At 37.7% G+C, this 25418-nt stretch overlaps 2 protein-coding genes across 4 annotated transcripts in view, besides 1 other annotated feature; both read right to left on the bottom strand.

The window, feature by feature from the left end:
• C8orf44-SGK3 (C8orf44-SGK3 readthrough) overlaps positions 1 to 25418 on the bottom strand; it is a 194427-nt gene that overhangs the window by 18104 nt on the left and 150905 nt on the right. The window contains exons 8-16 of the mRNA NM_001204173.2: positions 21460 to 21547; positions 15216 to 15265; positions 12608 to 12665; positions 8073 to 8156; positions 7845 to 7976; positions 3804 to 3916; positions 3672 to 3708; positions 2809 to 2895; positions 372 to 467 (exon numbers count right to left, since the gene is read on the bottom strand). Of these exons, the coding sequence (NP_001191102.1) occupies positions 372 to 467; positions 2809 to 2895; positions 3672 to 3708; positions 3804 to 3916; positions 7845 to 7976; positions 8073 to 8156; positions 12608 to 12665; positions 15216 to 15265; positions 21460 to 21547 (745 nt within the window). The remainder of the gene's footprint in view (positions 1 to 371; positions 468 to 2808; positions 2896 to 3671; positions 3709 to 3803; positions 3917 to 7844; positions 7977 to 8072; positions 8157 to 12607; positions 12666 to 15215; positions 15266 to 21459; positions 21548 to 25418) is intronic.
• SGK3 (serum/glucocorticoid regulated kinase family member 3) overlaps positions 1 to 25418 on the bottom strand; it is a 149242-nt gene that overhangs the window by 18104 nt on the left and 105720 nt on the right. For 2 of the 3 annotated variants that reach the window (NM_001033578.3, NM_013257.5), the window contains exons 6-14: positions 21460 to 21547; positions 15216 to 15265; positions 12608 to 12665; positions 8073 to 8156; positions 7845 to 7976; positions 3804 to 3916; positions 3672 to 3708; positions 2809 to 2895; positions 372 to 467 (exon numbers count right to left, since the gene is read on the bottom strand). In NM_001033578.3, the coding sequence (NP_001028750.1) occupies positions 372 to 467; positions 2809 to 2895; positions 3672 to 3708; positions 3804 to 3916; positions 7845 to 7976; positions 8073 to 8156; positions 12608 to 12665; positions 15216 to 15265; positions 21460 to 21547 (745 nt within the window). The remainder of the gene's footprint in view (positions 1 to 371; positions 468 to 2808; positions 2896 to 3671; positions 3709 to 3803; positions 3917 to 7844; positions 7977 to 8072; positions 8157 to 12607; positions 12666 to 15215; positions 15266 to 21459; positions 21548 to 25418) is intronic. The other variant, NM_170709.3, reaches the window with a different exon arrangement.
• Positions 13418 to 13618: a silencer, noted in NCBI's record as "peak7059 fragment used in MPRA reporter construct". NCBI's record gives its function as "represses an SCP1 promoter by STARR-seq MPRAs in K562 erythroleukemia cells {active_cell/tissue: K562}" and the evidence as "EXISTENCE:reporter gene assay evidence [ECO:0000049][PMID:32103011]".

Genomic DNA, 25418 nt, shown 5'->3' with positions numbered 1-25418 from the left:
GGGTTCAAGCGATTCTTGGGCCTCCGCCTCCTAAGCAGCTGGGACTACAGTATGCACTACCACACCCAGATAATTTTTTGTATTTTTAGTAGAGATGGGATTTCGCCACGTTGCATAGGCTGGTCTCGAACTCCTGGCCTCAAGTGATCTGCCTGCCTTGGCCTCCCAAAGTGCTGGGATTACTGGCGTGAGCCACCATGCCCAGCCTCTTTTTGTCCTTATTCCTAATGTGGGTTTGGGTTCATTTAACCAGACTATTACTGCTCTGTTAGTGTTATCTAAGTGTCCATGAGATTCTTAAGGTGGGAGAGACAGACAGACAATCAAATCAATGATAATACATTGGAATAATGAGGTATAGAAATACATACCAATCCATACAGCATTTCATACAGAACAGCCCCAAGGCACCACCAATCTACAGTATTGTCATAGGGCTGTTTTCTAATTACTTCAGGTGCAAGATACTATAGAAAACAATAAAATATTAGAGCAAGTCAGTAAACAAATCAAGACAAAATTTATAAATAATTGAGAAATTTAACAAATTTTAGTTGTTGCTATCATACTGAAACCAAATTATCTAGATTTCCAGTGGGTTGGATATTCTCATTCTACACCAGTGGTTCTTAGCTAATGTCAACTAGAACACTTCACAATACATGTATTCTGCATTTCTCCTTGGAAACTGTGATACAGTTAAAATAAATAAGAGTATCGCGAAGGTAGAATCTATAATTCCCAATAGGTGATGTAGGTATTTGTGGGGAAAGTCTTTCAAAGATTATTTTAGAAGTTCATTTGGTCATTATTCATGTTTTCCCCTTAAATAATTTTTTTGTTTTTTTGAGACAGGATCTTTCTCTGTCGCCCAAGCTGGAATGCAGTGGCACAATCACAGCTCACTGCAGCCTTGACTTCCTGGGCTCAGGTGATACTCCCACCTCAGCCTCCTGAGGAGCTGGGACTAGAGGCATGCGCCACCACACCTGGATAGTTTTTCGTATTTTTCATAGAGACGGGGGTTTAGCCATGTTGCCCAGGCTGGTCTGGAACTTCTGGGCTCAAGCAATCTGCCCACTTTGGTCTCCCAAAGTGCTGGGATTACTGGCATGAGCCACGGCACCCGGCAAGAATACTTAATGTAGCAATTATAATCCTTTTTTTTCTTTTCAGTAAAAAAGAAAGAATTGCATTCTCATCTGAGAATTATAACAGCAATTCTCTAACATATTATTTAGAAAACTTGTATAAGTTGTAGATGTCTATTTACATTTTAATTTGTAGGAAATTTAGACTGATCACAACTTAACACATCTAAGACAGTGAACTTGAATTTTACATTCCAAAATATATTACCTCTTCCCATATGAAATACATGTAAGAAAATAATTTCCTCTTAAGCTTTTTTATGTGATCTAAAGAAATGGCAAAATATTGGGAGGCTGAGGCGGGTGGATCACAAGGTCAGGAGATCGAGACCATCCTGGCTAACACGGTGAAACCCCGTCTCTACCAAAAATACAAAAAATTAGCCAGGCGTGGTGGCGGGCGCCTGTAGTCCCAGCTACTCGGGGGGCTGAGGCAGGAGAATGGCGTGAACCTGGGAGGCGGAGCTTGCAGTGAGCTGAGATTGCGCCACTGCACTCCAGCCTGGATGACAAAGCGAGACTCCATCTCAAAAAAAAAAAAAAAGGAAAAGAAAAAGAAAAGAAATGGCAAAATATTTTAACTATGAAATTAATATACAATAACAAAGAATGTTTCTTCATCCAGAAACCAAAACACAATGGTTATAAATATATACAAGCACTAGGGTTAGACAGAAAAAAGAAGGAAAAACCCATTTCAAGGTAAATATTTATTACTTAGAGATACTTTTAGTTAAGTTTCTGAACTCAGTTAGAAGCCATTCTCTCACACGTTTTCAACATTGTATTTGCAAGTACTCCACGATAAAGATGAAATATTATGTGGTACCTAAAATCATTATAAATACCTTGGAATTTGGACAGTTCAAAATAAACTAAACTTGTTTATGTGTGTGAAGTATGAATAATAAAGCTTTTACATGATTTGTAAGGATCATTACTATTGTCACAAATAGATACTTTTTTTGCTAGCTAACATGATTAGAAAATGGGATGTTCTGATAAATAAATTCTGATTTGTGATTTGTTTTTCCATATCCACTGCTTTATTTTCTTCTAGTAAGTAAACACTTAATTTTGTTACAAAATATTTCAAGCATATAAAAAACAAGAGAAACCAATAAACTGCAACTGAGATATAGTCAAGTGTTAATATTTTGCCATATTTGCTTTAGCTCATTTTTTAAAAGAAAAACAGCTTTATTAAAATAGTCACATATCACACAATTCACCCATTTAAAGTGTGTGATTCAATGTTGTTAACATAGTCACAGAAAGAACACTTTCATCACTGATTTGTGATTTTTAAAGGATTAGAAATATAATTTTCTACAATATTTACCTTAGAAGAAAACAAAAACAAAAAAAGAAATATAATTAAATGCATAAAGAAGCCTAAGGTAAACTTCTAACACTAAAAACAAATAAACATAATTTATATTTGTTGGATTATTCAAAAGGGTCTTGCAGTATCTAACAATCACAGTTAAAAATACCCAACTATCAAGGCATGATTATCAGGTATTTCCAGCTGGCTGGAAGCTGAAATGACAGTTTTTATTCTACTTTTCTTATTTTAAATTTATATATGCAATCTGTAATTCATATTTGCATTTTATACATGATTATATAAATGACAATGAGATATATTTCTTACCTCTGGTGTCCCACAAAATGTGGTAGTGGTGTCAGAAATAGCAATTCCTTCTTTACAAAGCCCAAAATCTGTTAAGACAACATGTCCCTGACAAATACAGGGGCAGTAAGATAAAACAATGCATAAATATGAATTGACAATTTTTCAGTTAATTTTTTTTTTTTTTTTTGAAACAGAGTCTTACTCTGTTGCCCAGGCTGGAGTGCAGTGGTGTGATCTCGGCTCACTGCAACCTCTGCCTCCTGGGTTCAAGCGATTCTCATGCTTCAGTCTCCTGAGTAGCTGGGACCACAGGCGCGTGCCACCTGGCTAATTTTTGCATTTTTAGTAGAGATGGTGTTTCGCCATGTTGCCCAGGCGTGCCACCTCAAGTGATCCACCCATCTTGGCCTCCCAAAGTGCTGGGACTACAGGCGTGAGCCACCACACCCGGCCAATAAATTAACAATTTTCAAACTCCTTTTATTTTGACATAATTATAGATCCATATGAAATTGCAAAATAGTATACAGAGGAAATTGTCATTGGTACAATACTATTAACCAGACTGTCAACCTTGTTCAGTTTTCACTTTTTACATGCATGCTTTGTGTGTGTGTGTAGCTCTACGCAATACAGATGTATAGATTTGTGTAACCACCACCAAAGGAACTTCCCTAATGCTACCCCTTTATCTTTGCACTCTCTATCCCCTTGGACCCTGTCAACCACTAATCTGTTCTCCATCCCTACCGTTTTGTCATTTTGAGAATGTTATATAAATAAAATAACGCAGTACAGAATCTCTGAGACTTTTTTTGCACTAAGCATAAAAGCAACAACAAAAATTGAGAACTAGTAGATTTTTAAAAGAGAATACTTACTACTGAATCCAAAAGAATATTTTCTGGTTTCAAGTCTCTATCAAATTAAAAGGAAAGAAACGCAAAACTGAATACAAACCGAAATAAAATATTGTTATATACAATTTTTACAAGTATATTTTAAAATTGTACCTGTATACTATTTTGATGGAATGTAAGTAACCCAATGCACTAGCAATTTCAGCAGCGTAAAACCTAGCTCTGTGCTCAGGAAAGGACCGTTCTCTTTGTAAGTGGAAAAAAAGCTGTCAAATTGGTTGTGGGGGTGGGGGGAGAGAGAATGTTAGGATCATTCACACATAGCATTAAACAAATATATTCGGTAAATACAAAGGTAGGAATTGTTCTTTGTTACTTTGAATGTGAGCTAAAAATGTTAACAAGGCACAGAAATGTGACTCCCCTTCATCCATGTCCCCACCTAACAATCATTCTCTCTCTTCAACCACGTGTCTTTGTTTACCCTTGCTAATGTCACTCATCTCCCATTTACTACTTAATGCAAAAATGTCCTCACCCTTCCAGGCAACTGTTCTGGAAAAGATTATCGATGAAGATCAACGATCTTGATACTGCCATGTAATTATCTTACAGGGCCTTTCTGGACTATGTTTTCCATTTGAAAAAAACAAACACTATTCAGAGATTAAAAACTAGAGCCCAGCAGAACAAATATAACCCATATGAAAATATATATATATATATATATATATATATATATATATATATATATATATATATATATATATCTCCATACATATAATTTACTTGAGCCAAATACTGTTTTTCAAAAAATCTGAATTAGTTGATAACATTAAAAACTGGGAATTTGGGGGTAAAAATTCATGGTTTTAGTTTTTTTTTTTAAAAAGATAAGCTCTGGACCATTAGGCCTACACTTCACAGCAGCAGCAACCGGCTGCAGCTAAACAGCAGTTGGACTTTCTAGTTCATTTCTTATACTTCCTAATTTTTAATTTATTTCTTATAACCTGGCCTTTAACTAAGGTTACTGCCTGGGGGAAGTTTCCACTGGGTCCCTTGGCTTCTAAGACAAAAATCTCTCCTTGAGTCTTGGTGAATTCCATCTCTGCTCCTTTCTGGCCTCGGAAAATGCAGGGATGACAGGGTTTCTGCCCTTGGTCCACGTGTTATTTTTTCTCCAAATACCCTTCCCAGGTAACTTTATCCATTCTGTTGGTTTTAACCACCACCTCAATGTTGATATCTCCTATGTGGACATTAGCCAACAATTTTGACTCAGGAAATCGGAAGCTGAGGCTCAGAGAGGCTTGCTCATCTGCCAAGTGTCATAAAACTTATTTGTTTTTATTCTACTTTGCTCTAAAAAAGATATGAAGTAGTATACAAAGCTAAGTATTCGTATGTCAAAGTTAAAATTTTTAAGTATGAACACTGGGGGAAAATAAGAGTAATAATGTATGGAAACCACACTCCTATCCTTTCTCCTCATCTTTAACCCTTGTCTACCTATTACCCACTCAACTTCTCCTCCACCCACCCTGGCATTCTATTGTATTTTATTCTCCTTTTTTCATTATCTTGCATCTTTCAGATGACAAGCCTTCCTCTTCCATTCTTTGCCAGTGAGCAGTCACTGTACAAAAAGGTCTCAGAAGCAAAGCCCTAAAAGAGCACGAAGAAACCACACATAAAGCAGGGAGCTCGCAGTGGTATCTCACCTGCACTTAGATGCTTCACATGAACATTTCAAAGACACAAGGTGGCACTTAAGAATGGGCTCTGCAGTCGAGATATCTAGGTTAAATGCAGGGTCTGACACTTACTAGAACACCGTAACATTGAGACAGTTATTTAACCTCTCCGAACCTCAATTTTCTTATTTATAAATAAGAAAATTTCAGCCAGGTGCGGTCGCTCACGCCTTTAATTCCAGCACTTTGGGAGGCTGAGGCGGGTGGATCATGAGGTCAGGAGTTTGAGACCACCCTGGCCAACATGGCGAAACCCCGTCTCTACTAAAAATACAAAAATTAGCTGGGCGTCATGGCACGTGCCTGTAATCCCAGCTACTCGGGAGGTTGAGGCAGGAGAATCGCTTGAACCAGGGAGTTGGAGGTTGCAGTGAGCTGAGATCGCACCACTGCACTCCAGCCTGGTGACAGAGAGAGACTCCGTCTCAATAAATAAATAAGAAAGAAAATTTCATGGCATTTAATATAAATGCCATGGCAAATTAAATGGGCATAATAGTGTTTTCTGAAAGAGTTGTGATTTACTGACATAATGCATGTAAAATAATTGCAAAGTGCCAAGCCTCAATAAATTCTCTTTATCTGTCAGCACTTGGGCACACACAAAATTAAACGACAACCTTCAAGGTGAAAACAATGTGGGGTCACCTGCATCAATGAATCAGGATGCCTGAGAGATGGATAATCTTGCCTCTACACTGAAGAGTCTTAAGGGAATTTTTTTTTTTGACACAGGGTCTTGTTCTGTCACCCAGGCTGGAGTACAGTTGTGTGATCATGGCTCATTGCAGCCGCAACCTCCTGGGCTCAAACAATCCTCCCACCTCAGCCTCCTGAGTAGCTGGGACTACGGAGGCATGTCACCATGCCCAGCTAATTTTTGTTATTTTTTTTGTAGAGATGGGGTTTCGCCATGTTGCCCAGGCTAGTCTTGAACTCCTGGGCTCCAGTGATCCACCCACATCGGCCTCCCAAATTGCTGGGATCATAGGTGTTGAGCCACCACACCTGGCCTTAAGGGACTTTTGTGACAGATGTAGAAAGGTGAATAATCATTCTTTTTACAATCTTCCCCCAAAATGATCTAGGTGTGTCTGACCATCTTTCGGTTTTGCAGAATATTAACTAATTTTCCTTACAGTTCCTTTCTTCTACAGTTAAATGCTGAAATAGTCATTTTCTGCTCAGAGATTGGGGAATGAAAGATCCCTTTGTAAAGATATGACAATACCTATTAGTTAAAAAAATTTTTTAGACATTCACAGTTCAAAGACCAAACAAATTAGAAAGGTGTGAGGGTTGAGAGGTCAGCTGCCTAGATCCTGGAATCAGGCTGCCTCAGTTCAATCCCTGCCTCTGATACTAACCACATTACTTCTACAAGCTACCTAGCTTCTCTGTGCCTCAGTCAGTCTTACTATAGATTGTTGTGAAGGTAAAATTATATGTACAAAGAGCCAGAGTGATGGATACTAAGTAATACTCAATGGAAGTTAGTTATTATTGTAATTATTGTAATAGCAGCATTTCCCAAAGTGTATTTCAATATCCATCTGAATCAGAGTTTTGTGTAATACTTAAGAGATTGGTTGAAACAAAAAAGGGGACTGCACGGTTTTAAAAAATTCTCTTAAGATATCCAATTTGAGGAGGTTGAGGCTGTAGCGAGCTGTGACCACTGCACTCCAGCCTGGGTGACAGAGTGAGACGCTGTCTCAAAAAAAAAAAAAAAAAAAAAAAGATATCCTGACTTTGTTTAAGGCAGAATTTCTCGAAGTCTTTAACATGCTGAGGCATATTGTGAATCACCAAGAAATGGATATAACATGAAACATTTCCAAAACAGACTTTATCATAAAGCCTTTTTTTTTTTTTTAAAGAGATGGGGTCTCGTTCTGTTACCCAGGCTGCAGTGCAATCATAGCTTACTGTAGCCTCAAACTCCTGGACTCAAGTGATCCTTCTGCCTCAGCCTCCTGAGTAGCTGAGATTAAAGGTGCGAGTCACTGAGCCAAGCTACCACCACAGAGCCCCTTATTAGAGGATTATCTCATCTGATTAATAATTTGCACATCTTGGAAACTGAGAAGCTGGAGTAATATTTGTATGCAACTGTTGAGATAATTGCCTAAATTACAAATCACATTTTATTCTAATATTTCAATATGTTATTCTTGCTATACAGTTTAGTGACAAACCTGTCCATGAAGCCAGCAGCTTCATATCAAGGTTCTTTTATGAACCTTCTCAACTATACCATATGCTTAAAAGCTCTGTGTTACAATTCTCCACATCCTGTACTCAGCCAGTACCTTGAATATTATTGCTATAAAAAGCTACTGATTTTATACTGTCCTTCTAAAACTTACAAGAAAAACTTTGACTTTATGCTATTTTTCTAAACTATTAACATTAGAAAACTCATTATAAAACTCACCTCCCCTCCATTAACAAAATCCAGAACAAAATAAAGCTTTTCAGTTGTTTGGAAGGAATAATGCAATCCAACCAAAAACGGATGTTTCACATTTTTCAAGAGCACATTACGTTCAGCCATAATATGTTTTTGCTGGAAAAAAGGCAAAAGATCAATTGTATTATACACTAGAAAACAGCTCTCTTAATTGAGAAAATGGGCTTGAGAGAAACAACTATTTTATTTTACCTCTTTTCTGTTGAGAACTATTTTTTTCTGTAACACTTTGACAGCATAAAATTTTCCATCCAGTTTCCGTTTTGCAAGAAGAACCTGTTATAGTTAAACATTAGTGTATACTATTAGAAATTTCAAATTTTGATAGAAATAATTCACTTGTCAACACATCAATACTTCTTAAATTCTGTAAAAAGAAAGTCCATAAGGGACCTAGATCATGTTTTTGTTTTAAAAATCAAGTAATCAGGCACCTTTTCTTTGTCACTTAATGTGTTGATATTTGAGATTTTTTAAACTAAATTTAAGTGCCCAAATCTACACTGCTTGAGAAGTTTGTGTGTGTATGCATGCATGTGCTCCAGCCCTGAATCCTGGAAGTCTCCTGTACTTCCAGGAGAAAATATTGCCTGTAGAAAATATTGTTATAAACTTCATGGCTACATTAACAAGGATAAGGAAATGTTTTTTAGGTAATCAAAATGTACTGTTTCATACTGAGATTTTTCTTAACAGGTTTTAAATTCAGAAGAGTTCAGAAGAAAAAGTGCCATGGATTTCTATAGTGGGCTGGGTCCCATGCAGACGCTTTAAAGAATCTGAAGAAATCTAGAGTATCTTGCAGTGGTGCAATGTTCACTCACTTGCAGCCTTGACCTCTCCAAGGCTCAGGTGATCATCCTGTCTCAGTCTTCCAAATAGCTGGGACTACAGGCGTGTGCCACCATACCTGGCTAATTTTTGAATTTTTTGTAGAGATGGGGTTTTGTCATGTTATCCAGGCTGGTCTCAAACTCCTGGGCTCAAGTGATCCACCTGCCTCGACCTCACCAAGTGCTGGGATAACAGGCGTAAGCCACCGCACCCAGCCTTCTTTTGTTTTACTGCACTTTGTTGGTTTCTTTTTTTTTTTTTTTTTGAGACAGAGTCTTGCTCTGTCGCCCAGGCTGGAGTGCAGTGGCGCGATCTCGGCTCACTGCAAGCTCCGCCTCCCGGGTTCACACCATTCTCCTGCCTCAGCCTCCCGAGTAGCTGGGACTACAGGCGCCCACCACCACACGGGGCTAATTTATTTTTTTTTGTATTTTTAGTAGAGACGGGGTTTCACTGTGTTAGCCAGGACGGTCTCGATTTCCTGGCCTTGTGATCCACCCGTCTGGGCCTCCCAAAGTGCTGAGATTACAGGCGTGCACTTTGTTGGTTTCTAAGATTACAGGAGTGCACTTTGTTGGTTTCTAATCATTTTGCAAGATTTAAATTTTTTTATTAAACATAGCATACATACAGAAAAACTCATCACTACAGCTCAATAAATTGCTACAAAGTGAATACACCTATGTAACCAGTATGCAGTTCAAAAAAACAAAACAAAACAAAACAAAACAAAACAAAACCCTGCCAGTAGCCTAAAGCCTCTCTTTTGCTAAATCCCAGTCATGACTCACCCTTCTCCTTCTCAAAGGTAACTAACTACCACAATGTCAACTTCAAATAACACAGATAACTTTTGCCCTGTTTTGAATTTCACGTAATTAGAATCACATGGATAAAGCTGTCTGTCTCAATTCTTTCACTCTAAATTATATGAAATATTCATTAACATTGTGGCATATAGCATAGTTCTCATATTTTGTTATGCAGAATATTCCATTATATGACACACTACAATGTATCTACTCTCTTGCTGATAGATTAGATTATTTATGAATAATGATGCTATAAACATTCCTGTATATACCTTTCCTAGTGGATATTCATTTCTGTTGGATATGTAAACTAGGGAGTAGAACCAATGTGTCATAGGTAACGCATATATTCAGCTTCAAGAATTAACACCAATTTTCAACAGCATAAAAAACCAAACACCTGGCTGGGTGTGGTGGCTCACGCCTGTAATCCCAGCACTTTGGGAGGCTGAGGTGGGTGGATCATCTGACGTCGGGAGTTCGAGACCAGCCTGACCAACATGGAAAAACCCTGTCTCTACTAATAATACAAAATTAGCAGGGCGTGGTGGCACACGCCTGTAATCCCAACTACTGGGGAGGCTGAGGCAGTAGAATCGCTTGAACCCAGGAGGCAGAGGTTGCAGTGAGCCGAGATTGCGCCACCGCACTCCAGCCTGGGCAACAAAAGTGAAACTCCATCTCAAAAAAAATTCTAAACAGAATACCACAAAATAGTATTGGGAAAAATTAAAGATGAGCTACATTAACAAAGTAATATACCATGGTCACGGATTTGACAACACAATATTGTAAAGATGATAATTCTTCCCAAATTGATCTACAGAGTCAATGCCATCCCAATCAAATTCAAATAGAATTTCTGCAGAAATTGATATGTTGATTCTGAAATTTATTTATATTGATATGCAAAGGGCTAAGAATAGTCTCTTGAAGAAGAAGGGAGGACTTAATTCTGTTAGATATCAAGCTACAGGTGTCACAACAATGTGGTACTGGTGTCAGGATAAACAGATAGGCCAATGAACAGAAAATGAACAGAAATGCAATGTAGAAACAGAAACACAAAACTTAAAATCTAAAAAGAGGGTGGGCACAGTGGCTCATGCCTGTAATCCCAGCACTTTGGGAGGCCGAGGCAGGCAGATCACTTGAGGTCAGGAGTTCAAGACCAGCCTGGCCAACATGGTAAAACCCCGTCCCCACTAAAAATACAAAAATTAGCCAGACACGGTGGCGTGTGCCTGAAATCCCAGCTACTCGGAAGGCTGAGGCAGGAGAATTGCTTGAAGCTGGGATGCAGAGGTTGCAGTGAGCGGAGATCCCACCATTGCACTCTGCACTCCAGGCTGGGAACAGAGTGAGGCTCTGTCTTCAAAAAAAAAAAAATTCTAAAAACAGATCTGTGAAGGTGTAAATAGTGAATACATGATAAAGGTGGCCCTGCAGATCAGGTGGCCCATCAGATGGCAAAAAAAAAAACAAAACAAACAAAAAAACCAGTTTTCATAAACTGTATAAGATCAGCTGGTTATCCACATGGAAAAAAATGAATTGTGACGCTATGCCTCACATTATATGCAAGAACCAAATCCTGATAAGACTCTAGATCTAAACATGAAGTTTCCAAAAGATAATGACTTTTTTTTTTTTTGAGATGGGGTCTTGCTATGTTGCCCAGGCTGGTCTTGGACTCCTGAACTCAAGTGATCTTCCTGCCTCAGGCTCCCAAGTAGCTGGGATTACAGGTATGTGCCACAATGCTTTTGTTTTTAATGACAGATAATGCTTTTGTTCTTAATGACAACTATGTCAAGCATTCCAATAGAATTTTGGGGATTTTGAGAGCAGGATTAATTTCTAACTTTCTATTGCTTATACTAGCACAATACTCAGCATGTAGCAGGTGGATAATATATATTTGCTGAGTGAATAAACATACATGGGTTTAATTGCATAGCCACAGTTTCTAGTCTCAAGGAAACCCAGAAAACAAACTAGAGTTACCAAAAGCTACAAATATAGCAAAATATGATTAAACACATACATATTCCATTTTTACTAAAGACTGAAGTACACTGTAAAAAAAGCACTTAAATATATTCGATGATTCTGATAACTTCATCTATGATACTTTCCTGTTAACCCTGGCCTTAAGTGATTCTCCTTCCTTGGTATGGCTATACTGTCAAGTTACATGATTCATCTGACACCATAAGAAAATAAGCAGGGTCTTTACACATTCGTTTCCTTCTCAAACTGTTATTTACACAGCTGCTCATTTTTGTCTTTCCAGCTTTGGCTTAAACAGCATGTCTTCTGAGAAGCTATGTAAGTGGGAATCTTCCCTCAGCTGCCTATTGTCCTTTGTCATTTCACCCTATTCTTCATTTCCTGCACTGCTGTTATTATTTGTACTTATTTACTTGACTGAATATTTTAAATTGACTATCCCCCCACCGAGATTGTAAGCACCACAAAGGTAGTAACCATGTCAATTTCCATAATTTTTCTAACCAGGGCCCAGAAGGGTATCTGGCACACAGTAGGTGTTCAACAAACACCTTCTGAATAAGTGAACTTTATTATAGAATTTGAGTAGATGCCTTTTCTCCCTAATTATTGTTAGTATTTTGAGGGTGGGGAAAGTATCTTAATTCCATATCCTGAAACCAAAAAGTCCTGTGGCTCACACACATAAAGCATAAATTCCTTAAGTACTTATTTACTGAATGAGAAAATAAAAACACTTTAGGCTGGGGATGGTGACTCACATCTGTAATCCCAGCACTTTGGGAGGCCAAGGTGGGAGGATCACTTGAGGAAAGAAATTTGAGACCAGCCTGGGCAAGAGAGCAAGGCCCTGTCTACAAAAGAGTGAAAAAATTAGCCAGGCATGCTGGTGTGTGCCTATAGTCCCAGCTACTCGGGAGGCTGAGGTGGGAGGATGGCTTGAGCCCAGGAGTTCAAGTGTGCTATGACTGCACCACTACACTCCAGCCTGGACAACAGAGTGAGACCCTGTCTCCAAAAAAAAAACCAAAACCAAAACCAAATAAAAACCTCACAAAACACTCTTACCTTGCCAAAGCTGCCTTTTCCAATAACTTTTAAGAAATCAAAGTCAGTTGGTTTGGCACTGAAATAAATTAACAATAAGAATTAGCCTCCTAGAAATTGGAAATATTAACTTTTAAACATTTCTTAGCACCTCCCTCTTTAAAAAATAAATGTTAGGCACAAAACACTTCAGCCTATTAACTCTAGCTTTCCTGCTGAGTACTTCATCTTTCATGCACAGTAGGTAATATGTATAGTAATATCTACTTTCTGATCAGATAAAACATTTCATAACTTTAAGCCTCATTAAGTTCTGCTTAAGAGGAACTTCAATAATACTCTCTTTGGGAGAAAAGGATATATGCATATCCTATATGTAGAGTTTTGAACTTGAAATAGCTTCTATCTAAACCAATTTTATTAATCATGGTCCAATGTTGTTGAGGAAATTAAATAACTATATAAATAAGTGATACATTCTAAGGACTATATAACGTGGTAATTCTTCTGAAAATGAAGCTGCTAGTTGGATCACCTAGTAAAGACGCTAAGAATAATTTCTGATGGAGAAAAAAGTCATTACAGTGTTTCATATAAACCACTTATTGTACATTAAAGATAAAATACTTCTCAGCTTATTCTCATGAACGGTAATATAGGAAAACCAGGAAGAGAAAAGCAAGACTGCCCTTTTATTTATGTTAACTTAACCTATCAGGTAAAAACAGCATTGGCTGTTATGTAGACAAAAACACACGGCAGCAGAAAGGGGAGCTTAAGCAGCCAAAAGAGCCGTTTCCTCCAACATGGTCTGAATTCATAAGTTGTATGGGAAGAGGGGAATAAATCCATTTAGATTTGAAATTTGCTTAATCATCAAAAAATCGTTAATTCAAACATGAGAGTAAAACCAGAACTAGGTTAAATAATGACAGGTAAAGACTAGTGAGATAAACACTTAACTATATTTAGATGTTTTTCTTCTTCAAAAACCTGCTCTTTGAACTATTTTCTTCTTTAAAGATATGCAGAGGTACTGAAATAACTTTGTAAACAAATCTAACAGTGAAAAGCATGCAGGTCCCTCAAACAGTAAATAGGCGAGCTGAGGCCATACTCCAAGCCTCACTGTTAACTGCTGGAGATGAACCTTAACTTCAGGCAAATTTCCATTTTTGGCCAGGCACAGTGGCTCATGCCTGTAATCCCAGCACTTTGGGAGACTGAGGCAAGCAGATCACCTGAGATCAGGAGTTCCAAGACCAGCCTGCCCAACATGGTGAAACCCTGTCTCTACAAAAATTAGCTGGGCATGATGGTGGCTGCCTGTAATCCCAGGTACTCAGAAGGCTCAGGAGGGAGAACCTGGGAGGCAGAGGCTGCGGTGAGTGGAGATTGCACCACTGGACTCCCGCCTAGGCGACAGAGCGAGACTCTGTCTCAATAAAAAAAAAAAAAAAAAAAATCCATTTTTTGTGCTGCCATTTTTGTTCAATGCTATGAACAACAGAAAAGAATGCTTAAAACCAAACTTCCAGTTAGCATCGTATTTATTTGCTTTCCTTTGAAGCAAAAACTCTTCAAGTAAGTTTTGTAAACTCGTTGTCTCTACCCGCTGTCCTCTCCTCTAGTTCTCTTGTGAACCCTTTCTGATCAGGGTCTTATATCAACCACCACACCATTGAAACTGCTCATTAAAAGTCACCAATGACTTCATGAAATCCAGTGGTCAATTTTCAATCTTCATCTTACTTGCCCTATCAGCAACATTAACAGAGATAATTACTCCCTCCTCTTTTAGGCACTCTTCCCCTGACTTCAGGAAACCATATTCCTGGTTTTTCTCTTATCTTACTGTCTCTTTCTCAGTCTCTGTTAGCAGTTCTTTCCTGATCTCATAATGTTGAAGTGTACCAGGACGCAGTCCTTGGACCACTTCTCCCATCTGCCTATAATCATTCTCCAAGTAGAGCAAAAGGGTAGGGAAAGGGTAGGGAAAGCCTAGAATAAAAAAACACTTCAGAGTAAATGTAATACGCCTGTAAGGATAATTACAAGTAAGGGCAGCAAGACCACATTCCTCCTCCAATCCATGGCAGACATTACTAATCAATTAGCCTGGGAATATGGGGAGAAACTCGGTAAACAAAGTTTAATAGCCTTTAATATGCTAATGTCCATTATGACTCCTCTGGAAGAAGCTGGCTAACAACAGGGGTGCACCAATCACACCAAACACCAGCAGAATGTCAATTAGGCCTGCAAGGGTGCTTTTTTTCAGAGGACCTCATAGGACTTGTGGTCCCTTGGGAAATATGGTCTACTGATTTTAGACACACACACACACACACACACACACACACACCCCCCACCCACCCACCCAGAAAAGTGACAATGACAAAATAGCAGAACCCAATTAACAATCTGTGGATTAAAAATTCCTCAGGGCTATCCTAAAGCAGTGAAAAGCTGGAGCATACAAGCATATGACAGCACTGTATTCACTGTAACTATGGTTATATTTCAAAGGCCTACAGTTAAATTAGTGTAATTATACATATCTGCATACGCTCAAAAAAGATCTTCCTAAAATTCAGTTAAAAAATTGTTTGAAGCAAATTAAACATACTGAGGATTTCCAGACGGTCCCAGGTTGATGTTCTGTGAGGTAGAGTGTAGCTGTGAAGGTGGGGAAAGAAAAACAACATTCTTATTGGAGCTTCAAAAATTAATTAATGTTTTGAAATAAAGTATTTATAACTGTACCACAAATATTTGGTTTGTTGCCATGTTAAAGAAACCCAAAGTCCTGATTCTCAGTAAGGGTATAGACTTACTTGGAAATACACATAGACAAAAACATAATCATTTTTCTCATGGTAGTTTTCAAGAACTGTTGTAAGAAAAAAGGTAAGCCAGAAATCAAGCTCTAAGTTGGCAAATAAATGAAATAAACTGAGGAAAGCTCCTTTGAGGAGGTGGGTATTGCAACTGCAATTTAAGAGGGATCACTTTCTAAAAAACTGGTTAAAAATGGCTTTTTGTTTTTCAAGTTTTCAAACAGTTTATCAAAGACAGAAATGATAGGATGATGACAATGATGATTGCAAATGCTGGGTTTTCAATTTTAATTTGATGGTAGGTAAATACAGACAAAGCAAACATAGACAGCAGTGTTTTTCTTTTCTTTCTTTCTTTTTTTTTTTTCTGAGACGGAGTCTCCCTCTGTCGCCCAGGCTGGAGTGCTGTGGCGTGATCTCGGCTCACTGCAAGCTCCGCCTCCCCGCTTCACGTCATTCTCCTGTCTCAGCCTCCCGAATAGCTGGAACTACAGGTGCCCACCACCACACCCGGCTAATTTTTTTGTATTTTTAGTAGAGACGGGGTTTCACAGTGTTAGCCAGGATGGTCTCGATCTCCTGACTTCGTGATCTGCCTGCCTTAGCCTCCCAAAGTGCTGGGATTACAGTTGTGAGCCACCGTGCTCAGCCTTTTCTTTCTAATTCTAGCACTGTGGTAGTGCCAACATTTTATACAGGCTTTTCTCTTTGCAACAGTTAACACAGTAAGCTTAAGCCCTGGTATTAATTTAGAAGCAAATCTTTATTTACCTAGTATGCTATGAAGAAATTTAAGTAATAAAAGATTCTAGTTCATTAATAATTAGCTCTAATTTTAACTCAAAAATCCCAGATTAATCTAGTAATCCTATCAGTGATCATTTTTTATAAAAGCCACGTGTCAGTAAATTCTGCTTCACATAAATGAACTTTAAACCTCTTTATACATTCAGATAATTAAATCAGTTATAAATGTTTCAAATATGTATACTTTTACTAGTGTTCTATATAATATATAATTATACTTCATATAAGCTATAAATATAAAAAAGCTTTTAAAAACTTCTCTAATCAGAACCAATACTTTTTTTTTTTTTTTTTTTTTTGAGATAGAGTTTCACTCTTGTTGCCCAGGCTGGATGGAGTGCAGTGGCATGATCTTGGCTCACTGCAACCTCCACCTCCTTGGTTCAAACGATTCTCCTGCCTCAGCCTCCCGAGTAGCTGGGATTACAGGCATACGCCACCATGCCCGGTTAATTTTTGTATTTTTAGTAGATATAGGGTTTCGCCATGTTGACCAGGCTGGTCTTGAACTCCTGACCTCAGATGATCCACCCACCTTAGCCTCCCAAAGTGGCGGGATTACAGGCGTGAGCCACCGCACCAGGCCAAGAAAATTTTATCTTATCAAACTTCTTATTATAGACATATGTAGTATTTATTTTTACTTAAATTCATTTCAAATTTGTAATATCTAGAATATAAACTATTTTTTAAAATAAAGGGCAAATCATCTCATCCTTCAAAAGTTCTTAAGAAGTTTCTGAACGGGAGTGGTGGCTCACGGCTGTAATCCCAGCACTTTGGGAGGCCAAGGCGAGTGGATCATCTGAGGTCAGGAGTTCGAGATCAGCCTGGCCAACATGGTGAAACCCCATCTCTACCAAAAATACAAAAATTAGCTGGGTGTGGTGATGGGCACCTGTAATCCCAGCTACTCGAAAGGCCGAGGCAGGAAAATCCCTTGAACTCATGAGGCAGAGGTTGCAGTGAGCTGAGATAGCGGCACTGCATTCCACCGTGGGTGACAAAATGAGACTGTCTCAAAATAAAATAAAATAAAATAAAATAAAGAAGTTTCTCATGAAAAAACAACATTGGCACCAGTGTTGTAGTTACAATTCAAATTTATTTCCTGTTGTTATACCTATACATAAAAAATTCATTAAATGAGATTAGTCCTGTTGCGGCATAGTTTTAACTAAGAGTTGCCTTTAATGTTTAAATATTACAGTGTTCCTTTCTACTAAGTAACTGCTACAAAATAATCAAAACAAATCATAATAAAAACGGAAGAAAAAAATATTTCAGTGTTCCTTAGACTCTTACAATGTAATTCAAACTGAGTTGTAATTTCAATACACTTCTTCTGTTAATGAATGTGCAGATAACTGGTTTAATTTTCCATTCAATAAATTTTTCTTATAAAGATGAAGGAAGGCCAGGCGTGGTGGCTCACACCTGTAATCCCAGCACTTTGGGAGGCCGAGGCGGGTGGATCACGAGGTCAAGAGTTCGAGACCAGCCTGGCCAATATGGTGAAACCCCGTCTCTACTAAAAATACAAAAATTAGCTTGGCGTGGTGGCGTGCGCCTGTAGTCCCAGCTACTTGGGAGGCTGAGGCAGGAGAATCACTTGAAACCAGGAGGGGGAGGTTGCAGTGAGCCGAGATTGAGCCATTGCATTCCAGCATGGGCAACAGAGAGATTCCATCTCAAAAAAAAAAGATGAAGGAAGAGGATTAAATATAGTGCAGATTAAACAACATGAACAACTTGTCCCCTGAAGTATGTTAATATGTAATTAGATTTTATTATTTAGGCAAGGATTCCCCTAATGGAGCACATTTCTGAAATGATGAAAAGTATTAGGATATCGAATTAGACAATTGTACTTACTATTTTTGAAGACAACATCTAGTCACTAAATTGAGGGTGAGGTATAATTTATTAACAGAATGAATACTAATTGAGATCATTTAAGTTTCTTGACTTCCCTTGGCCTCTATTTTTCTCTGTGTAAATAAGGGAGTAGGTCCAGATGCCCTCTAAAATATTCCAGCTAGGAACTTCACTTAGTTATTCACTTAAAAGTCCTTAATAGGCCAGACGAGGTGGCTCATGCCGGTAATCCCAGCACTCTAGGAGGTCAGGAGATGGAGACCATCCTGGTTAATACAGTGAAACCCCGTCTCTACTAAAAAATACAAAAAATTAGCCGGGCATGGTAGTGGGTGTCTGTAGTCCCAGCTCCTCGGGAGGCTGAGGCAGGAGAATGGAATGAACCTGGGAGGCGGAGCTTGCAGTGAGCCAAGATCATGCCACTGCACTCCAGCCTGGGCGACGGAGCGAGACTGTCTCAAAAAAAAAAAAAAAAAAAGTCCTTAATAAGTAGTTACAATTATACAACAAAGTATGGCTTTTTCCTTTTTTAAAAGAGATTCTTTTTATCTGTATTTTAAAACCTCAAGGGATTCTAGTGGAAGTTTCAGACACTATGGATGAAAAAAGAAAAAAAGGAACAAAACTCAGATTTAAAGCCAACAGCGGCAGAACCCAGAAATCTCTCAGCTTGGTTCTATCTTCGAGTTGTCTGCAGCTGTCTTCCACTGCAAGGCAAGATAGGCTTCAAATAACCTAAACCTACCTAGTCTCACATGAGTAGCAAGCAAAACATGGAAAATCATGGTTACATAGATTTTAAAAACATTACTTGAAATCATTCATTTTTCAATTAAAAATACTAATAGTTGGAAAATGTCAAAAGTATTAGGAAAAAGGTTTTTTAAAATCCATAACCTTACCAATATATAATTTTGCAAATATTTACACTACTTTCATATAGTATTTGCATATCTTTTTAAAAAACTGACTGTAAATCATACTGTGTGAATATGCATATGTTTTAAATACTGATTTCATTTGATGTGTCAAAGCTTAACATCTGATCTTGAAAAATAATTTAAAATGTATAACATATATGGACAAACACTAAGTGACTGGTCAATATTTAGGTTGAGTCTAATATTGTTTTTAACAGATCATACTGAAATGAACATCTTTTGCTTTTTTCTGTGTGGATTATTCCATTTGCATCAATTCCTGATGTGAATATTTTTATATTTGATATGTACTGCTGAATTGCTTTCCAAAAGAGTTGCATAAAATTATGACACCAATGATGACCAAGGGTGCTTGTTTTACCTTACTGTTATCAGTTCTGCAATATTTTACTGTACATTTTTTTTTAATTTGGTAGAGCAATAAAAATCTCTAAGATTTTCATTTGCTAATAGCATCAACGTTCAACATTTTCCTCTATGTTTTTTTACTAAGAGTATTCCTTCATGCCCCATTTCCTTTTATCTACTATGGTGTTAAGTATCATTCTTTTCAAAAACCCATTTGTATGGGCTTTTCACACAGACGTTATTTCTTCTTATGCCTTATTTGTTACAAATCTTTTCCCAGTTTGTTGTTTCTCTTTTGACCAGCTACAGAGATTTTTTTTAAAGCTTTTTACATTGTCCTAGGAGCAACCATGTCACAGATGTAAAAGTAACATTTGTTCTCTTAACTGAGAATCTTCTTGGGGTATTGGAGAAGGAAAATTACTACTTTCCAGTAGTCACAAAAAAGGAATATGTCTTTTTTCAAAATGAAGGTTTTAGCTCTAGGACAGTAATATTCCAATGCACCATATTATCTTTTAAATCACAAAAACAGAACCATAACAAAATTAAAAGGCATTATAAAGAAAAACTGTATTTCAACCCATCATCTCTGATTTTCATGCATATATTTAATAATAGTTGTTTAAAAGTTTAAATTATGTAGATATAGTTATATAACATTTATAATAATTTAATTGCTACATAATAATACTTACAGTTAAATTATTACAATTTACTTCTCCCACATAACCTTCGAATGGTAAATGTTGAAAACATCTTCATAATAAGACACAAGCTTATTTTACTTATTGCTATCACATCTAGTTTAAAAAACAACACTGGTCAGGCACAGCAGCTCATGCTTGTAATCCCAGCACTTTGGGAGGCCGAGGCAGGAGGATCACAAGGTTAGGAGTTTGAGAGCAGCCTGGCAAATATGGTGAAACTCCATCTCTACTAAAAATACAAAAATTAGCCGGGCGTGGTGGCAGGCACCTGTAGCCCCAGCTACTAGGGAGGCTGAGGCAGGAGAATCACTTGAACCTGGGAGGCACAGCTTGCAGTGAGCCAAGATCACGCCACTGACTCTGGCCTAGGCAACAGTGCGAGACTCCATCTCAAAAAAAATTAACAAAAAAAAAAAAAAACAAGGCTACCCTATTCTCTGTTAGGAACACACATTAATTATGTACATATATCACAGAAATAAAAGTTAGTTGATGCCAACTGGCATGTATGTATTGACTGTTCTGTATATAAAATCCTGACAATGCAGAGTAAGTGGGATGTAATGTGGTCAAGAAGGCCTCTTCTGTTGGCCAAAATTCAACATAGTTTCAAGGGTGGCAATAATGATAAAATAAGATGTGAAGTGAAGAAAGCAGAATATAAAACTGTATACACTGCATAATTAAAATTAAGTAATTTTAAAACCCTATACATTAGAGAAGATTGGAAAGAAAATCACCAGGATGTTAAAAATTTTTAGGTGTGGGTGCAATAATATGGATAATACTTTTCTTTTTACCTATTTTCAAATTTGTCTGATTAACCTATATTACTTTTTAGTAAAAAAGTACTCATTCTATAGGTTTTATAAGAAATAGTGATCTGTGGCCTGGGCACAGTGGTTCATGCCTGTAATCCCAGCATTCTGAGAGGCTGAGGCAGGTGGATCATTTGAGGTCAGGAGTTTGAAACCAGCCTGACCAACATGGTGAAATCCCATCTCTACTGAAAAAATGCAAAAATTAGCCAGGCATGGTGGCAGGCGCCTGTAATCCCAGCTACTGGGGAGGCTGAGGCAGGAGAATCGCTTGAACCTGGGAGGTGGAGGTTGCAGTGAGCTGAGATCATGCCACTGCACTCCAGCCTGGGTGACAGAGTGAGACTCCATCTCAAAAGAAAAAAGAAATAGTGATCTGTAAGAGGTATATGCATTTGTTTTTATGTGTTCTACATAGTAGAAACTCTACTATGGATGAAATTACTTCATTTGAAGTAAGTGTCCTAAAGCCACTAATTTCACCTTTGGAATAGTATTTTTTCTATTAAGAAAGGCAATTCCTCTTACTACCTTCTGAGAACTTCTTTCATCCTCATCTTCAGATGGATCTGACTGGTGTTTTGGACTGTCCATTTGAAGGAATGCTCTGACATCTGGACTAAAAACAAAAATTAACTTTATTATAACTTCAAAAGCATTTCTACAGCCTTTCTCCCTTTTAAAATGAAAATCAAAATAGAAATAACTATATTAGTATTTACAGTAAGAAAGTAAAACAGAATCCATTAATATTCATTATTATAAATGTAATACGCAAATTAATTTTTTTTTTAATAGAGAAACCAATAGACAAATGGGCAAACATATAAACAGGCAGTTCATGGAAAAGAAAACCCAAATGGCAGCAAATTTGTGAAGATGGCTAACTTCACTAATAATCAGAGAAATATAAGTTAAAATGATAATGAGATATCACGTTATGTCCGTTACCTGGCAAAAGTTAGAAAGACAGATAATACCAAAAGTTGGTAAAAAAAAAAAAAATAGGGAAAGAGAAATGTTCAAATATTGTTGGTGACAATTCAGAATGAAGCAACTTTTCTGAAAAGCAATCTGGCAATACTTGGTAAAACTGTGTATGTATTTTCCCTGGGCCCAGAAATTCTAATTTTTGGGGTAAACCATAGAAAAAATTATGTGCTGCTGGCCAGGCACAGTGGCTCACGCCTGTAATCCCAGCACTTTGGGAAGCAGAGGCGGGCGGATCACGAGGTCAGGAGATCGAGACCATCCTGGCTAACATGGTGAAACCCCGTCTCCAGTAAAAATACAAAAAAAAAAAAAAAAAAAATAGCCGGGCGTGGTGGCGGACACCTGTAGTCCCAGCTACTGGGGAGGCTGAGGCAGGAGAATGGTGTGAGCCCGGGAGGCGGAGCTTGCAGTGAGCCGAGATTGTGCCACTGCACTCCAGCCTGGGTGACAGAGCGAGACTCTGTCTCAAAAAAAAAAAAATTATGTGCAGGTCCAGTGAAAGGCATGTAATTATAATGTTCATTGCAGCATTTTCTGTAACAGTAAGTTAGAAGCAAAATAGACATTTACCACCAGGGAAATGAGTAAGTCAACTATGGTAACTGCCTATAGGGAATACCAGTCAACAGCGAGAAGCAAGAAACTATAACACAGTATCATTTTTATATATATATATAAAATACTCATAGACATAAAGCATCAGTCTGTTTACCAAAGATACACAGACATATAAGGACATATATCAAACACATTAAAGTGGGTATCAACAAGGGGGATGAGGAAATGGCTATGAAGAAGAAGGATGAAGAGAAAAAAACGGACTAAAATTAGAGATGGCCCACAGATGGACTCATGACGACTGTGGGGAATAATTAAATCTCCATACCCGGCACCCTCTCCCCAATCTGTCCTTAATTATTTAATCAAATAATATTTGATTATTTCCAGGAAACTCAAAAGATGAAAAATTATTTTTAAAAAGAGGAGGCCTTAGCCAGGAGTGGTGGCTCATGCCTGTAATCCCAATGCTCTGTGAGGCTGAAGCGGAAGGATAATTTGAGGCCAGGAGTTAGATACCAGCCTGGGCAACATAGCAAGACTCTGTCTCCACAAAAAATAAAATAAAAAACCCCAGGCATGATGGTGTGCACCTGTCATCCTAGCTACTCAGAACGCTGAGGCAGGGGAATCACTAGAGCCCAGGAGGCTGAGGCTGCAGTGAACCAAGATTGCACCCCTGCATTCTAGCATGGGTGACAAAGCAACAACTTGTCTCTAAAAATAAATAAACAAAATAGGAAAAAAATAAAAATAAAAAGAATTGGACTGGTGTAAATGTAAAATGGTACAGCCACTGTGGAAAACAGTTTGGCAGTTCCTTGAAAAGTTAAACACAGAGTTACCTTATGACCCTGCAATTCCAAACCTAGGCAAAGACCCAAGAGAAATAAAAACATATGTTCACATAAAAACTCATTCATGATTTCTCATAGCAGCATTATTCATAATAGCCAAAAAGTGGAAATATCCCAAATGTCCACCAATAGATGAATGGATAAACAAAATGTGGTGTTATCCATACAATGTGATATTAGCCATAAAAAGGAACGAAGAGCACTAACACATGCTATAACGTGAATGAAGCTCATAAATATTATGCTAAATGAACAAAGGCAAAAAAAAAGTCACCTAGTATATAATTTCATTTTAATAGGCAAATCTGTACAGACAGAAAGTAGAATAGTGGTTGCCAAGGGCTGGGGGAGGAGATAATTTGGAGGTAAAGTTTCTTTTTAAGGTGATGAAAATGTTAGATTAGCTTTGGGGTGATAGAATTAGTGATGATGGTTGTAAAGCATCGTGAATACACTAAAAACTACTGGGCTGGGTGCAGTGGCTCACACCTGTAATGCCAGCACTTTGGGAAGCTGAGGCGGGTGGATCATGAGGTAAGGAGTTCAAGACCAGCCTGGCCAACATAGTGAAATCTTGTCTCTACTAAAAATACAAAAGTTAGCCGGATGTGGTGGCACGCACCTGTAGTCCCAGCTACTCAGGAGGCTGAGGCAGGAGAATCTCTTGAACCCAGGAGGCGGAGTCTGCTGTGAGCCAAGATGGTGCCATTGCACTCCAGCCTGGGTGACAGAGCAAAACTCTGTCTCCAAAAAAAAAAACCAAAAAACAAAAAACAAAAACAAAAACAAAAAAAACAAAAACTACTGAATTGTATGCTTTAGAATAATTAAAATGGTGAATTTTTAACTTAATAAAAAAGGTTTATAAAATGTAGGGGTGGGGATTTTCAATCTTACCACATGGAAGCAACCACTGTTAACATTTTGGCATATTTTATTTCAGTCTTTTTCTCTGCACATTTAAGATCACAATATATTTAAATTTTCACTTTAAAATTACATAATAAACATTTCCCCATCTTGTTAAAAACTTTGTAAACAATCACTTTTGATAGATACATGATATATAACATGAATGTACTAAAAATTACTCAATGATTCTTCCACTTGAGGGTATGACTTCCAACTTTTCATTACCATAAACAATGCTGCAGTTGACAATCTTTGTGCATAGTATTAGAACTCTACAACTTTCAGAACAGATTTTTAAAAATAAAATTACTCGTCTGAATTATAAACCATTTTACAGTATTAAACAAATACAGTTTGTAAGACTGATTTCCAGAGCAGCTGTACCAATTTATACTCTTCTAGCAGTATATGAACATCCTGAAGACTCTCAGGCTTGGTTAGCATTAAATGTTACATTTTATATTAACATCTTGGATAATTTGATGTGAAAAACTGTATTTTAAAGAGGAAGTACTCAGTATTGCTTACAGTAATAAGTGAAATGCAAAATTAAAGCAACAGTAAGATACCATTACCCACTCACCAGAATGGCTAAAATGGAAGACTAACAATACTAAGTGTTAATGAGGTAAGCAACGTGATTTCACATGCTGATGGAAAGTGTACAACTGGTAAATCACTTTGCACAACTATTTTGCATTATCCACTAAAGTTAAACACATACATATACTCTACAACCCACAAGTTCTACTCCAAGATATATCAGAAATGTTGGCACATGTGCACCAAAAGGTATGCTAATGGCAATATTATTTATAATAGTCAGAAAATAGAAATATTAGTATCTGAAATGCCCATCAACAGTAGAATGCATCAACTGTGGTATACTCATACAATGGAACATTATACAGCAATGGAAATGAGCAAACTATAGTTAATGAGACAACATGGATGACTCTCACATTGCTGGGAAATAAGCCAGACAGATAACACATATTGTATGATTCCATTTATATAAAGTTCAAAAACAGGGCACACACTAATCTGTTTTGTTAAAAGTCAGGCTGGTAGTTACCTTTGGGAAGGAAGAAAGAAACAGAGATTGAAAGAGGATGTGTAAGAGATCTCAGGGGTGTTCATAATATTTTCTTTTTTGGCCTAAGGGGATGA

Source organism: Homo sapiens, chromosome 8, assembly GCF_000001405.40.
Source record: "Homo sapiens chromosome 8, GRCh38.p14 Primary Assembly".
Lineage (NCBI taxonomy): Eukaryota > Metazoa > Chordata > Mammalia > Primates > Hominidae > Homo > Homo sapiens.
This window is presented reverse-complemented; position numbering and strand designations above follow the sequence as displayed.